We start from the raw sequence: 15844 nt of genomic DNA, 5'->3' as shown, positions 1-15844 counted from the left end.
ACATCCTTTATCCATCGCCAGCTATGCAGCCTTGGCAGGTCTCTTCTTCTGCTGCCTGAGAATGGTTACACTGATGCTGAGTGGCGGTGAGGAATGGAACGAATCTACACAAGGCTTCGGTCATTCTATGCTGTGATGAAAGTGACCAATTCTCTTAGAATCACAGTGTCTGCTATTGTTCTTTATGAGTTAGTGGACTTATGGTCCCAGATGGAACAAAGTGACCTGACATACGAGTTTGCCACAGAGTTCCTGCAGCTTCTGAATGAACAAGCCCTATATTAGCAAGCTTTTTCTTGGTATTGTTTGGGTTATAGTTTTATGGCATAGAAGATAAAGAGAAATCTTTGCATTTTTTCTAAATTATTGAAGATCATCAGAGGTTAGGAGGAGAAAGGAAAAGTAAACTTTGGGTAGCAAGTTTTAATCTTTTTTTTTTTTTTTTTTTTTTTGAGACACAGTCTCGCTCTGTTGCCCAGGCTGGAGTGCAGTGGTGCGGTCTCGGGTCACTGCAACCTCCAACTCCTGGGTTCTTGCCATTCTCCTGCCTCAGCCTCCCGGGTAGCTGGGACTACAGGCACCTGCCACCACGCCCGGCTAATTTTTTGTATTTTTAGTAGAGATGGGGTTTCACCATGTTAGCCAGGATGGTCTCGATCTCCTGACCTTGTGATCTGCCCGCATTGGCCACCCAAAGTGCTGGGATTACAGGCGTGAGCCACCGCGCCCAGCTGGAGGATTGTTTTTATGGAAGTGCTGGTAGGGGTGGGATGCATTCTTTCCTTTGGACTTTAAACTTGTGAACAGAATTCTATAATCCAGGTGTTTTGGGTATTGTTTCTAAAAATACTTTGGCCCCTTAATGATTTAATTTTTATTGATCAACTTTAGGGTAATGGAGGATAACCCAATAAATTAATAACATATTGCATGGTTCATTTCTCATTAGCTCATCCAAGATCAACTGCAGAGGAGGACGAGGGAAATTTTATATGGGAACAATTATCTGAAAAATGTGAGTATCTCAAGATAATCTGATTGCTTAGTTTTAGCTAACCCTGAGGTCTAAATACTTACAGCCAAGAGAATTTATCTGATGAGTTTAGTCCAAGAAACACAACTTTATTTTCCCACTACTAGCTGAATATAAGTGTCAATTTAAGAGTGCTACATGCCCTACAAACATCGATCGCCTCATGTTCCAAATGAAAAAGTTCATTAGTGAGCTTCTCTCCTGATGTGTTATTATTAACTGGAAGCTAAAATTAATGAATTTTGTCGGATTGCCTCAAGTAGTGATAGGGAATGATAGAATTCTTCAGCAGTCGATTTCTATTCTATCATCTGCTTAGTTTTGTTGTTGTTGTTGTTTTCTTTTCTTTTCTTTTCTTTTTTTTTTTTTTGAGGAGTCTTGCTCTGTTGCCCAGGCTCTGGAGTGCAATGGTGCAATCTCGGCTCACTGCAAGCTCTGACTCCAGGGTTCACGCCATTCTCCTGTCTCAGCCTCCCGAGTAGCTGGGACTACCGGTGCCTGCCACCACGCCTGGCTAATTTTTTGTATTTTTAGTAGAGACAGGGTTTCGCCGTGTTAGCCAGGATTGTCTGGATCTCCTGACCTTGTGATCCACCCGCCTCGGCCTCCCAAAGTGCTGGGATTACAGGCATGAGCCACGCGCCCGGCCTTTTTTTTTTTTTTTAAATAAATGTCACTCATAGGGGTCTTCTGAACTTAGTATGGCCTGGAAATCTCAGGGCACAATGGATAAATTGCATTATATTTCTCCACTGCTGTAAATGTATTTGATATTGGGGTTCCTTTGGTTGCAAGAGACAGAGATCCAGTTCAGACATGCTTAACAAATCATGTTATCCACACACATAACTTGGAAATTCACTGATGATCAATAGCCAAAGGCAATATGAAAACATGCTGTATAGATGAAAAACACAGCTACCACCAAGCCCTTAACACATCTGATTTCTCTTCTTTTGGTCTTTCATGGGAAATGTAACATTAGTGGGGCTGGAATATAGGTTCTGTAATAGCAATCCTCACTTAAGTAGCCTTGTGTTCTTGGGCAAGCATTGAAATTCACCAAATCTTTCACTGTACAACAGAGCTTGCCATTCTAGTCTGGCACATAGGATTATAAGGACAAGTAAACAAGAAGCCAAGTGACAGAACTCTATGAATATATGTAATCGTCCATTTCATTTGTTCTTTGGGTCCTTTTAGACCCAACTGTTTCTAGTAGAAGTGGGTGTGGAAGAGGAAGCCATGGAGAAATAGTTGCCTACTCAATGTGGGCAGAGAATGAAGGTTTTCAAAATCGACAAGTCCCATGAAACGACGCACTCTTAGTGTTGTACTGAAAATCTGCAGAATGAGAGACACATGTCTTCTGAATATGATGGCTCAGACTATTTCTTATTTATAATATTTTCCCAAATAATTTCTCATATTTTTCTGTAATTTAAATCCATATTTTCAGGTCAGGATGCTTGTGATCGTTTAGTGGACTTGAAATTTTGCACAATGATGAACGATTTTTTTCCTGTCTTGATAAGCAAGTCATAGGGGATGGTCTGGGGAGATACATCAAAATTGTTTAATACAAGCACGTGTTTAGAACCTCAGAGCCCTACAGAGGCTTCCTACGTTTATCTGTATGAAGATCTCTGTTTTCTCCCCTGAGGCTGCACATAGGAACTGCTAAAGCAGTACAAGAAATACCAGCCACCGCAGTCTATCTTATATAATGATTTCCCTTTCAGTCTCAGGTTCTTCTGCCCAGACTCAGCTTGTTATCCCAGGCTTTATTCCTTTCAGGTTGATTTTACCCAAGGGGACTTGTGCTTCTGGCATCTTGTTTATAGCGGGATACCCTACAAAGCTCCAACATGCCTGCGCATGGCTGGACTCCAATGCTGGCAAGTTGCAATGTTCTTCCTGGTACATGGCTCAGCCCCCATGTGAATCGGTTAAAGAAAATAGATACCCAAGAGAGGGAGCAGCCACAGCCTCACATATCTTCCTTACATTTAGAAAACTTTCTCAAACTTCTCAGAGTGTTTTATATGTGGCCATTTTTTACTGCAGGTGTGAATATAGTAAACTGGGGTTAGAGGGGTGATGTTATGGCGCACGCAAGCAATGGACTTGGAGGGAGAACGAAAGGGAAGGAAGATGGTCTCGCAGCCATGAATATTCTACTAAAGTGTGGCCTGGGCAGCTAAACTGATGTACTCCAAAGATGTGCCAACGATGGCCTCCCTCTGATCACCTTAGGTGAATTCAGTCCCTGAAAATTCTAGTTTCAGAATTTGAATTTTTGCTTTCTATCTTTTTTAATTTAGGGATTAGGTTTTTTGTTTTGAGGGGATTTTGTGTTTTTAAGTTAAAAAAAAAAACTCCTCATACTCAGACATTCCAAGTCCTTATATTTTATATCCTTTCAAAACTTTGTTTTTAAAATTACTTTTATGGATTATTAAAGCAGTGTGTACACATTGTAGAAAAATTAGGAAAAAAGCCCCCCAAAAATAAAAACTACCAAAAAACAAAGAATGTAAGTGATAATTATAATCCCAACCTCCTCCCTGAGAAGACAATTTTTAACACCTCTATGAATATCCTTACAAATAGAGAAGTATGGATAAAACTGACAAAAATGAAATCATATATATCTTTCTATAATTTACCATAATTTATTTAAACCATTTACAACTTGTTTGGTGTCTAGGTTGCCTTCAATTTTTCCTAATGTATACAAATATAAAGCTGGACTAATTAGCTGAGAATAAATTAGACAATCTTTAAAATAGAAAAAAATGAATAATTCTAAAACATAATTAAATATGCATGAATAGTACTAAAATTAGCCCATGATGAAACAAATCATCAGTATTAAAAAATAATACAAATTAAAGTAGCAGTGCTTGGGAATTTTATTTTTACCTAATCATTACTGTGATTTCATTCTTGTATTGACCTACTTCTTGGCAATAAAATGACCTTGACCATCTAGTTTTCAGCCAAATTAATTCATTCATCCACTCAGTACTTATTTATTGAATTCCTAATGGAAAATAAAATATAATTGAAAGTCCCCACACTCACAGAGCTTGTGTTCTAGTGTGAGAGATAGGAAAAAAAACCAAGTATGTACCCAAAAAATACCAGATATGGAAGTAAAATATGGGTGCATGAGAGAGAATGACATCAGCGTTAGACTCTTCCAGGAAACGACAGGTGTAGTGAGAACTGATGATAAAACAAGTGCCATCCATGCAAAAACCAGGGTGAAGACAATTGCTGGGAGAGGGGCATCTAGTGCAAGAGCACTATGGTGGGGGCAAGCATAGCGTTTCCAACAGGAGAAAGAAGCACAAGCTGAAGGAAGTTCAGTGGCCAAGATCAAGAAGGGTCAGAAGTAGGCGGAGTCCACAATGTGCCAGTTTTGTCAACCAAAGACAAAGGTTGAACTTTATTACAGGCACAGGTGGGTAAGCGCACTAACCCACGCCTGCAATCCCAGCACTTTGGGAGCCAGATGAGAGAGGATCATTTGAGGGCAGCCTGGGCAACATAGCAAGACCTTGTCTCTACCAGAAATGAAAAATAAAGAAAGAAAAAAATAAAGTCAGTCACAGTTGGACGACACTAGAAGGTTTTAGGCCAAGAAACGGCATGACTTTATTCATGACTTCAAAAGATCACTCTGGATGTTGGGTGAAGAAGGGCATATAAGGAGCAAGAATAGGTGCAGGGGAGGTAAGGGGTTGAGGGGGATGATGAGTCTGGGACCAGGTGCTACAGGTGGAAAGGGGGACAGGATGCATTTAGGGTGTGAATCAGAAGCAGAATGAACAAACTTGCTGATGAAGTGCAGGGAGCAAAGAGGGAGAAAAACAAACTGAAGCATAACGCCTCTGGGACTACTAAGAAGAATTATTTTGTCTGGTGAGTGTTTTTGGACAAATAGCATAACATGTTTGGGCACCTATTATAATATAAAGCATAGTACAAAAATTGTTTCTGATAATAATAATTGTACTTTCCACTTATTAAGTACATGCTATGTACTTAATGCTGATCTCTTTTTTTCTTATTGAACATAGAGGGGATAAAAATATGTACGTTGAATTAAATACTATTCCTCTCATCTCACTTATTAAATTACCAAATAACCCATGTTTTCCATATGGCCTTTGCCCGTTTGAGGATTGCATTGCCAAGGAAACAGATTGTTAAGCACAGGCTCTGCAGGTAAATCCTATTAAATATGTCATAATTCAAACAAAATGCACAAAGCCAACTAGGCTTGGGTTTGGAATATTAGCTTCCAAATGTCCCCCTCCTAAGGCCTAACTATATACTTAATAAGGTTCAACGTTTAGATGCCTGTCTAATTCTACCCAGAGCCCTGGACTTGTACATTCCTGACCCAAATCCCTGATCTGAATGTCAGAATTTTTAATTAACCTCCCCAAATGGCATTTTCACATAATAAACTCTATGCATGCTGCTAGCTTCGAACAGTAGACAAAAAGTGATCCTTTTCTTTTCCTCAGTCAGATTTTTCCTTTGTAAAACATTAAGCAGAATGGCTTCATTACCTGGATATGCTTAAATGAGGCTGGGGAAAACCCAGAATTGGAGATTTCAAAAGGAAAAGGAATTAGAGATTAACTAGTTCCAATCCGCTTTATACGTAAGGAACCTGAGGTTCAGCAAGATTGTGATTTCTGTCTGCAAGGTTACAGAGCATATTTATGGACAGTACTAGGGGCAATGCCTACCTCCCCTGGCTGGTGATGTCTTCCTTTGTCTCAGGGTTCTTCCATTCACCACCCTCCTCCTAAAAGTCATCCTTGTTGTTCCTTCAGTATAAATTCTTCATTTCCTCCTCCCTCACCTACGTCCTTTGCTCCCCAGTCGTCTCTTCTGGCCCTCATGGCCTTAGCTCTACCTTTCTTCTGCTCATTTCCTAAATGCAGCTTATTCCTCCAAGTCCCACTCCTGATCTTATCATTCACCCCCCTCACTGCAACTCAGGCTCAGGCTCATCAAGCTCGTTACTGGATCAATGAATTCACCCACCAAATGTGTTTTGCACAGCATGTTTTTTTCAATTCAGTGCCCATGGCTTTTGCTAGAAGGCTGTCCTCATTTGACCCTTGTCATTTCATTAAAAAATATCCAGTGGAGTGAGAAAAAAGTGTAATTGAAACCAATGTACCACAAATAAACTCTTCTTATTTAGGAAAATTCACTGCTGAGCTTATTGAATGTGGAAGGTGGGTCCTAGTGGGCATGAGATGCATGGAGCCAAATAGACACCATCCTCTGAAAAGGAAATGAATGTCATTTTGGTGGTGGGAGCAAAGAGAAAAGCAAAAAGGAAGAACAAGCATGTGGAGGAATACAGCATCAGCCTGATACCCAACTTGGTAGAATGGACAGGACTTTTAAAGAACAAGAAAAACATAATATTCAAATTTAAGTTTGGCTCTCTTATGTTGCAATCAAAGTTTACCTGGCTGATATCCCTGTGTCTCCAATTAAAGCCACTCAATGATTTACATACAAGTTACTTTAGGAAAAACAAGGAGAAGCAGTCTCTGTCCTGGATTTGGGTTGGCACTAAGGAAAAAGACCTCAAGATGCAGAATACAGAACTAACATTCACTGAAGCTGGAAATTGAACCTAAGGTGATTAGAAGAAAGGTACTCTCTGAAGGATTTGAATAAATCTTGGGGAGAATATCGAGCTTTCCACTGGAATTACAATGGGGATTTAAGGCAAGTTTTTGTAGATATGAAGGGGCATGGGTCCTAAATATATGGCTAGCATTGAGGCTAGAAGGGTAAAGAAGAGCTAAGTCTGCTCCTCTGGTAGTTCATAGTACATCAAGACAGCTAGGTATGGAAATAACTAAGTTACAAGGCAAAAACTGGTTAAAGATAGGAGCCACTCACTCATGTCCACTCTGGTAGAGCACTTTATATACCTTATACAGTAAATGCAGGAGGGGGTGATTTACAACAATGCTAGACCACCTTAGGTTGACCTTTGTCAAGCAGTCTGTTGGGAAGAGACTGAATTTTCCTTAGCCCACTGAATTAGCTATTTGAGTAGAAATAGCTACTTCTCATTTAGTTGTACTCTTTTATTTAACAAATATCCATTGAGCACCTACTCTTTACCCAGTGTTGTGCCAAGTGCTAAGAGTACTCTTGTGTATGGACCAAAATTGAGACATGACTGTGCCATTATGGAAGTTGAAGTCCAGAGAATGAGGGGACATCAATCAAAGAATCAAGGGGATATCATATTGTAACTATGACAGGAGTTATGAAGTAGAGGTACATGGCACCAAGAGAGCTTATAACAAGGAGAACTAACCTAGCTAAGGTGTCAGAGAAGGCATCCTTCAACAATAAGTATGAGGTAACCAGGCAAAGGGAAATGATTGAGGGATCAGCTTGTGCAAGAGTTCTGAGGCACCCATGGACTGAAACTGAGCCTCTACAGGCCAGTGCTGTAGGAGTGGATGAGCAGGGAGGGGGCTCATGGTACTACACATAACCAGATAGGTAGACAGGAGCCAGGACACGGCCTTGTAAGAGCCATCCATCTTTTTCATAAAAAACAATGGGAAGCCATTTGAGTGCCTCAAGAAAATATGATGATATTTATATTGAAAAATAACTCTGGCTATAGAAGAGAGATGGTGCAGGGTAATAGTTACCAGATAGATGCAAAAGTTTTCAGACGTTTATGACAGCTTTAACTAAGTTGATGTCGGTAGAGATGAGAAGAACTAGATTTGATAGATATTCAGAAGATAAATTCAGTACGATTTGGCGACGGATTAGATATAGGAGTGTCTTAATTTGGTTTACCTAGAAACCTAAAGACAAGATTCAAGTTATTTATTTGGAATCTACAGGGCACATTGTTATGGGAGTGGAGAAATGAGACAAAGAAGGGAAGGCAGCCAATGAAAAGAAGTGTGAAACTTGCCACCACAGCGGGCACCCAGAGTTTAGTTCAGTTTGGGAGCAAGTACAGAACACCTGTCTCAGAATTATCCCACCCAAGGGGCAAAGAACCTGAGCTACTGATATGCAAAATCCCATCAGTCATTGGTTGAGGGTTAATGTAGGGGACATTAATTCCCTGTCACTTCCAGCTGGCCTGCTGTGGCTTTGGAAAAAGCCTGCAGGAACACAGATGCAAATGTTGGCTGTTGGAAGTGATCTGGAGCTCACTGCAATGGTAGGGTCCTAAGGATGTGGGTAGGACACAGACTGTATCTGTACATGGGGTGATCATTACTTCTCCAGTGTCCTAGTGTCCTGGCCACACATGAGTCATCTAGAGCCACTCTGTCCAGTAGAAATATACTGTAAGCCATGTATGTAAATTTAAATTTTCTAGTAGCCACATTCAAAAAAGTACTAAGAAACAGGATAAATTAATTTTCACCCTATATTTAACCCAACATCTCTAAAACATTATCATTTCACCATGTAGCCAATAGTAAGTCTTTGAAATCCAGTGTGTATTTGACTCCTACAGCATCTCAATTTGGACTAGCCACATTACAGGTGCTCTGTAGCCAGGGGTGTCTTGTGACAGCTTCACAGTTATCTCATGGGCTAGCCCAGACCCAAAGGCTTCTCCAGGAATGTTGATTCAGACTTTGATACATTTGCTTTAGCTTCTGTTTACTGGACCAACAAAGAAGAGGTGCAAAGGACACATATGTTATCAAAGACATCAGTGAGTTGACTTGGGTCTCCATTGTCCCTCTTTGTTCCTTATAGAACCTAAAGGCAGTCTATAGAGGAGTCATGGGGGCAACTGTGGTGGGGGAGAGGTGAGAAGAGCCAAGCAAGCAGTAATCTGTCCCCCTCACATACTTAACTGTCAGAGCAGTTTTACTTCTATATGTGGCAGGCAGGCCAGGCATGGCGGCTTATGCTTGTAATACTAGCACTTTGGAAGGCTCAGGTGGGAGGATTGCTTGGAGCCAGGAGTTTGAGACCAGCCTTTGCAACATAGCAGGACCTTGTTTCTATTTATAAAATAAAATATAATAAACATGATGTGGCAGACAATGAGTTTCCCATCATCCTCTTCCTTGTTAGCCGGGTCTGCCTCTCACAGTGGAGGAGAAAATGTCAGATGCCTATTTTCCTAATTTTTCTTGCAATTAGCATATGGGCTTAATCTGTCCAATGGGTCATATAGCTAGTGATGAGAGGAGACTGGGTTTTCTGTCTTCAGTCTTTCCTACCATACCATATTGCACTTCCAGAAGACTCTACATGTGGATAGGTCCATTCTAAGTTAAGAAAGAATAGAACCTAAGGTCCCCATAGTGTAAAAGGGTGTGAGAAAAGAGAAAAGAGAAGGATATAAAGACGTGTGTTTGTGATATGTTAGGACATTTTCCAGTGAAAGTTATAGAACTCTTTCTAAGCTTGCTCAAGCACGTTAGGGAATTTAACTACGAAGGGTGGGAGCATTTCATGGAAACCATGGAAACATCCGGGTCTCAAGAACAAACATCCAGGGATTCTAATGCCTTCACAACACACGACTGACTTTCATTGCTCTTCCATTCTGGTCATTGACTTTGTTCTCCTCTCTTGTTGCAGACAAGCTTTCTCTGCTTCCCAGGGCAAATGGTGGAACACAAACACCCACATATGCTCTCTTCCGGAGGGCAGGCAGACAGACTCTGCTGTTGCTTGGTACTAATCCCAAGGGAATTACTGAGGGACTAAATCTGATTAACTGAGTTTATGCTGGGAGGTCAGCAATGTCCTGTTTCCATGGTAATCCCAAGACAGAGGGCAGAGCTATTTCTCAAAATGAAGAGATGTTTCAGAAGGGGGCTGTGTAGTTTCCTAGGGCTGTCCTAACAATTTGCCACAAACTTGGTAGCTTAAAACAACCGAAATTTGTTATCTCACGGTTCTGAAGGCCAGAAATCTGAAATCAAGGCGTTGGCAGCATCACCCTCCCTCCAAAGGCTGTGGGGAGGACCCTTCCTTTCCTCTTCCAGCTTCCGGTGGCTCCTGGTGTTCCTTGGCTCGCGGCAACATAACTCTAATCTCTGCCTCTGTCTTCACATGGCTTCTTCCCTGTGTCTCTTGCAACTGTGTGTCTCAAATTTCCCTCTTTTTTTATTTATAAAGACACCAGTCATTGGATTTAGGGATTACCGTAAATCTAGGATGATCTCATTTCAAGGTCTTTAACTTAACTACCTCTGCAAAGATCTTATTTCCAAATAAGCTCACATTCACAGGCATTGGAGTTAGGATTTGGACATATCTTTTCGGGACCACTATTCAATTCACTACAGGGGGCTAAGATGGGTTAATATATGTTTGTAACAGGTTGAGAGTTCTAGCAAAATGTTCCCACTATCTTCAGTTTATCATTTAGCCTGATATTAGACCATACAGATTTATAGTCAGAAAAAATAACGTAGGCAAATTTTCAGAATGCTGTTTGGGATCCGTGAAATATAGCTGAAACTGAAGGCTGATGGAAGAAGATGAAATGAGACTAGAGTGAAGAAACACGTGAAGAAAGTGAGGAGAAGAAAATAATCGGAAGGAAAACTTCAAGTTTCACATAAATGATAAGTGAAAAAGAGAAAAAAATTGACACAGAGATGTCATTGACATCCATGATGAAGTAGAGAGTAAGGGCTTGAAGATTTAAAATGAAAATTGAGGAAAGTTATAGTTGAGGAAATATTAAACCAAGTCTACACCTATAAAATTAAAATTTATGGGCTTGAGTATGAGATCTTTAAGAAGGATAAATTGCTTCAGGAAATATTCTTCTTCCAGTTGTATCTGATGAAATCCCTGACACGACAACTACTGCTTAGAGCAAAGACATATTTCTACCATTATTGGCCAACTAACTTTAAACTCTGACTTCTTGGGCTCACTCATCAGTATGTACATGGGCCAAAATATTTCCCAAGCATATGTTACCTTCTGGCATTGCTCAAAGTTTTTTGAAAATCGAATGGACTTTAGATCCGGTATTTAAGTAGATCATACAAGTCATAAGCCACTGAATTAGGGGCCACCTATGGGTTTGCCATTGATCCTTGGTCCATTCATTTGAGGATAGGGGAACTCAGAGTGAGGGGTCTTATGGTGCATGGATCTGTCCCTTCCAGGGTTAGGTCTGGAATAAACACAGAGATACACATGTATTATACAGATATGCAAAGGAATGCAATGAAGTGGTGTCCATGCTATTAACATAAAGTAAGGGGTAGTTGAAGAAGTGTGCATGGAGAAATTGGCTCATAAATTCTGAGTTGTGTTCAATGTGGCGTGGCCCAGGGAGGTGGCTGAGTGGGGATGGGAGGGCAATGAAAAATTCTTAACAGGCCGGGTGCAGTGGCTCACTCCTGTAATCCCAGTACTTTGGGAGGCCGAGATGGTAGGATCACTTGAGGTCAGGAGTTTGAGGCCAGCCTGGCCAGCATGATGCAACCCCGTCTCTACTAAAAATACAAAAATTAGCCAGGCATCATGGCACGCACCTGTAATCCCAGCTACTCAGGAGGCTGAGACAGGAGAATTGCTTGAACCCAGGAGGTGGAAGTTGGAGTGTCCCAGCATCAAGCCACTGCACTGCAGCCTGGGCAACAGAGCAAGCTCCATCTCAAATAAATAAATAAATAAATAAATAATTTAAAAAAATCTTAATTGGGTATACACACAGGTCCCATTAGGAACCACACCAAGTATGTCACATCTGAGACAACTGGACTGGGAGATGATCACTCTAGCAATTTTAACAAAACTTCATGCTATTCTCAAATACGAAAGCAACTGTTAACAAGAATGAACAGTTGAATAATATCTAATCATCCTGTCTAAGAGGTGGAGGAACGTTTTCCCTTCTCAGTCCTTTAACTGGAAAGCTGGCACCATGAACAAGTTGTTAAATTAGCAAGTATGCCAGCACTTTCATTTATTAATTGGTATGTTCCATTTTAATCAAAATCATCCTGGCTAATTACTCATTTCACTGTGTGCAGCACCAGCTGAATAAGCTGGAGGACATGATGAAGGAAAAAATAAATGCTGTACTCTCTCTAGTTTATTAACTTGGAATTGTTTTCCCTTTCATATGTGGTGACTCAAGGGAGACGTAAATTTAACCTTCTATTCTTGCCTCATCTTCAAGTATGTGGTTATAGCAGAAAGAGTATGGGCTATGAAACTCAGGCATGTGGGTTTGGATGTTGGCTTTGCCATTTATGAACTGTGTGACAATGAGGAAAAAACTAGCATCTCTGATCTTCAAGGTCTCCTATCTAAAAATAGGAGTAATAATAGCATGTACTCACTACAAAGAGTTGATGTGAGGGTCAATGAAATAAAATGAAAGACTGGGTACATAATAGATAAATGTTAGTCTAACTCTGAACTAGAGAAATAACAATGATTATTGTTATTGTTATGATATAATGTTACAGTTATAATAGTACCATAATTAGTAGCCAACTGGTAACTGGGCACTTATTTCCCAGGCACTGTTCTGAGCACTTTGGTATGCTTTAAGTAAAGAGGTCACATGTGTTAACTCATTTAATCCCTGACAGCCCTAAAACAGAATTTATTTCTCCTACATTACAGAAGAGGAAACTGCGATCTACAGAGAAGGAATAACTTGCCCAAGGTCACAGAATAGGCTGACACTGGAGCTGAGGTTCAAAGCTAGGCATCCAGACTCAGCACTCTTAACCGCTTTTTAAACATTTTTTATTTATACTTATTTATTTATTTTGAGACGGTGTCTCGCTCTATCACCAGGCTGGAGTGCAGTGGTGTGATCTTGGCTTACTGCAACCTCTGCCTCCCGGGTTCAAGTATTTCTCCTGCCTCAGCCTCCCAAGTAGCTGGGACCACAGGTGCGTGCCACCATGCCTGGCTAGATTTTGTATTTTTAGTAGAGATGGGATTTCACCATGTTGGCTAGGATGGTCTCCATCTCTTGACCTCGTGATCCACTGGCTTAGGCCTCCCAAAGTGCTGGGATTACAGGTGTGAGCCACCGCACCTGGCCATCTTAACCACTTCTTTACCAAGATTGCAGGGTTGCAAAGAAGACAGAGTTGAGCTGTCTGAATGGCAGAATCTAGAGCATTTATAAAATCTAGGGACTGGAGAGATTAGATGTTTTGGGATGTCCATCTAGTCCCCACTTAGCCCTTGCCTTTGAACATATTTTTGGGTTCCTGGAAACCTTCCAGGTGACCCATGTTAGGCCAGATAGAATTGGGGACTGAGGCACTGAGTGTCTGTTGTTTTTCTATGTCGGTGTCAATCAATTCAAGATGTTTCTTGTAGCAATAATGACAGGATACAAAAGAAAAGGTTCACATCCTTCTGGCTTTGAGGTAGTTAGCTGTGTTTGTTCCTTACTGCCTTTTTTTTTTTCTTTGACACAGTCTCACTCTGTCGAGTAGACTGGAGTACAGTGGCACAATCTCGGCTCACTGCAACCTCTGCCTCCCAGGTTCAAGCAATTCTGCCTCAGCCTCCCAAATAGCTGGGATTACAGGTGTGCACCACCACACCTGGCTAATTTTGTATTTTTGGTAGAGATGGATTTCACCATTCTGGCCAGGCTGGTCTTGAGCTCCTGACTTCAAGTGATCCACCCGCCTCAGCCTCCCCGAATGGTGGGATTACAGGCATGAGCCACTGCGCCCCGCTGTCCTTCTTGAAGCTGATTTATTCAGTGGCTTCAGAGAGTCCCTGAGATCCGTACCTTGCCAATAACTTATTTTATTTGAGCCAGATATATTTAACTAAGACTCTGAACATAGATACTATAAAATACACCACTAAGAAGGAAGGGGGCAATACCTCCTTTGCTAAGCATCCAGCCCCATAAATTGTGTGGCCATGGGTGTGCTCAGATTGACTTCAGCTGGACCAGGCAGATCTGGGAGAGTTCACATAAACAAACAGTTTGGAAGGGAGGCTTTCTGCACTGTCGGAGAGGTCAACCATCTACCCGGCAATTATACTGCTGTCAGATTGTAAATACACATTTGCAAATGCTTCTGTAATTGTTCGGAAATAGTTCAGGCCTGTTCATGCAGGGCTGGTTACAGAATGTTAATGGGGTAACGTACCCAACATCTGCTTTCATGGTTGGAACCAGATCTCTGCCATTTAAACATATATGGGTATAAAGCAGCCAATCAGGTATTTGCCTTTGCCAACTCTCAGAAAAGAAAAACTCAGCCGCAATGGACAGTCACATGGCTGATTGATAGGTTTGGTGTGGGCATCACATTTTCAACTATAACAAAGTCTTATTAAACATGGTTTGGCTCTCTAAAAAGCTAATAACAACAATAAGATGTGAAATCGCCATCACAGAATTGTGGTTAGGTTGCTTGACTCACTTGCCTCTCTGGCCTCATGAAGGATGATGAATATAATTAAACAAAAAAATCCATGCTAACTCTAAAGCATGATATAGGCAGATACCCACATAAGAAGTAGAAGATCTCAAGGGTGCATTACAGAATGTCTGTCTTTTCGTCTTTTGATTTGGGGCTTATGCTTTAAATCACTATTTTGCTGCCGTCATCATCTCGAAACATACATCATTATCCCTCCCAATTGGTAGGCATATAAGCCTCTTATATTCCTCAATTTCAGCTGTTTTGGATGATTGCTGAACCCCACCTCCCACCCAGGGAGGGCATCCTATGTGTTCCCCAGAAGCCACATGTAAGGTGTCAGATTGGCCAGGCTCGGTGGCTCATGCCTGTAATCCCAGCACTTTGGGAGGCCGAAATGGGTAGATTACCTGAGGTCAAGAGTTTGAGATCAGCCTGACCAACATAGTGAAACCCCATCTCTACTAAAAATACAAAAAAATTAGCTGGGCGTGGTGGTGGGCACCTGTAATCCCAGCTACTTGGGAGGCTGAGGCAGGAGAATCGCTTGAACCCTGGAGGTGAAGGTTGCGGTGAGCCGAGATCACGCCACTGCACTCCAGCCTGGGTGAAGGAGCGAGTCTCTGTCCCAAAAAAATAAAATAAAATAAATAAAGTGTCAGATCATCCCCATTTCTAACTGCTTGCAACACTTCAAGTTCAGATGAATATTCTAGTTATTTTCAGGTGCTGGAGCGTATTGGTTAGCTCTGCTATAGAAAAGTGACTCCGAATTACAGTGGCAGACGGATGATACAGAATTTTATTCTTTTCTGATGTAACAGTACCAAGTGAAGAGCCCAGGTTAGAAGGTTACTTTGCTCCACAGAGTCATTCATCGATTCAAGCTCTGACATCTTTCGGTTCTGCCATTCCCCCAGAGAATGTCCTCATTTGTATGGTCAAGGCTGGGTTGCAGAGAAGTCCATGTTGCAGCTCATGGAAAAAAAGAACCAAAGGGACTCAAGAACACTGGCTTATGTCTTAGATTGGAGATGACCTGGAAAGTCAACTTTCACCCATAACCCATTGGCCTAAAGTAAGTCCCAGAGTCAACTTGAATTGCAAGGGATCCGGAGTAATGCTGTTTATACCTGGAGTGCTGGGGACCCAGCTTAAACTCTACCACCATAGAAGACAGGGAAGATAGATTTTGATGGATGACCAGAAGTTTCTGTTACATGTACAACAGATTAAAAATATATATATTGCCAGCTGGGTGTGGTGGCTCATGCCTGTAATCCCAGAACTTTGGGAGTCCAAGGCAAGTGGATCACCTGAGGTCAGGAGTTCGAGACCAGCCTGGCCAACATGGCAAAAACCC

At 41.4% G+C, this 15844-nt stretch overlaps 1 long non-coding RNA gene across 6 annotated transcripts in view; it reads left to right on the top strand.

Moving 5' to 3' along the window:
• The window catches only part of LOC107984878 (uncharacterized), a 77518-nt gene extending 61986 nt beyond the window's left edge, over positions 1-15532 (top strand). For 5 of the 6 annotated variants that reach the window (XR_001752259.2, XR_001752258.2, XR_001752264.2 and 2 more), the window contains 2 exons: positions 950-1015; positions 15350-15532. This is a non-coding gene — a long non-coding RNA (uncharacterized LOC107984878). The remainder of the gene's footprint in view (positions 1-949; positions 1016-15349) is intronic. The other variant, XR_002957866.2, reaches the window with a different exon arrangement.

This window comes from Homo sapiens, chromosome 16 (genome assembly GCF_000001405.40).
Source record: "Homo sapiens chromosome 16, GRCh38.p14 Primary Assembly".
NCBI lineage: Eukaryota > Metazoa > Chordata > Mammalia > Primates > Hominidae > Homo > Homo sapiens.
This window is presented reverse-complemented; position numbering and strand designations above follow the sequence as displayed.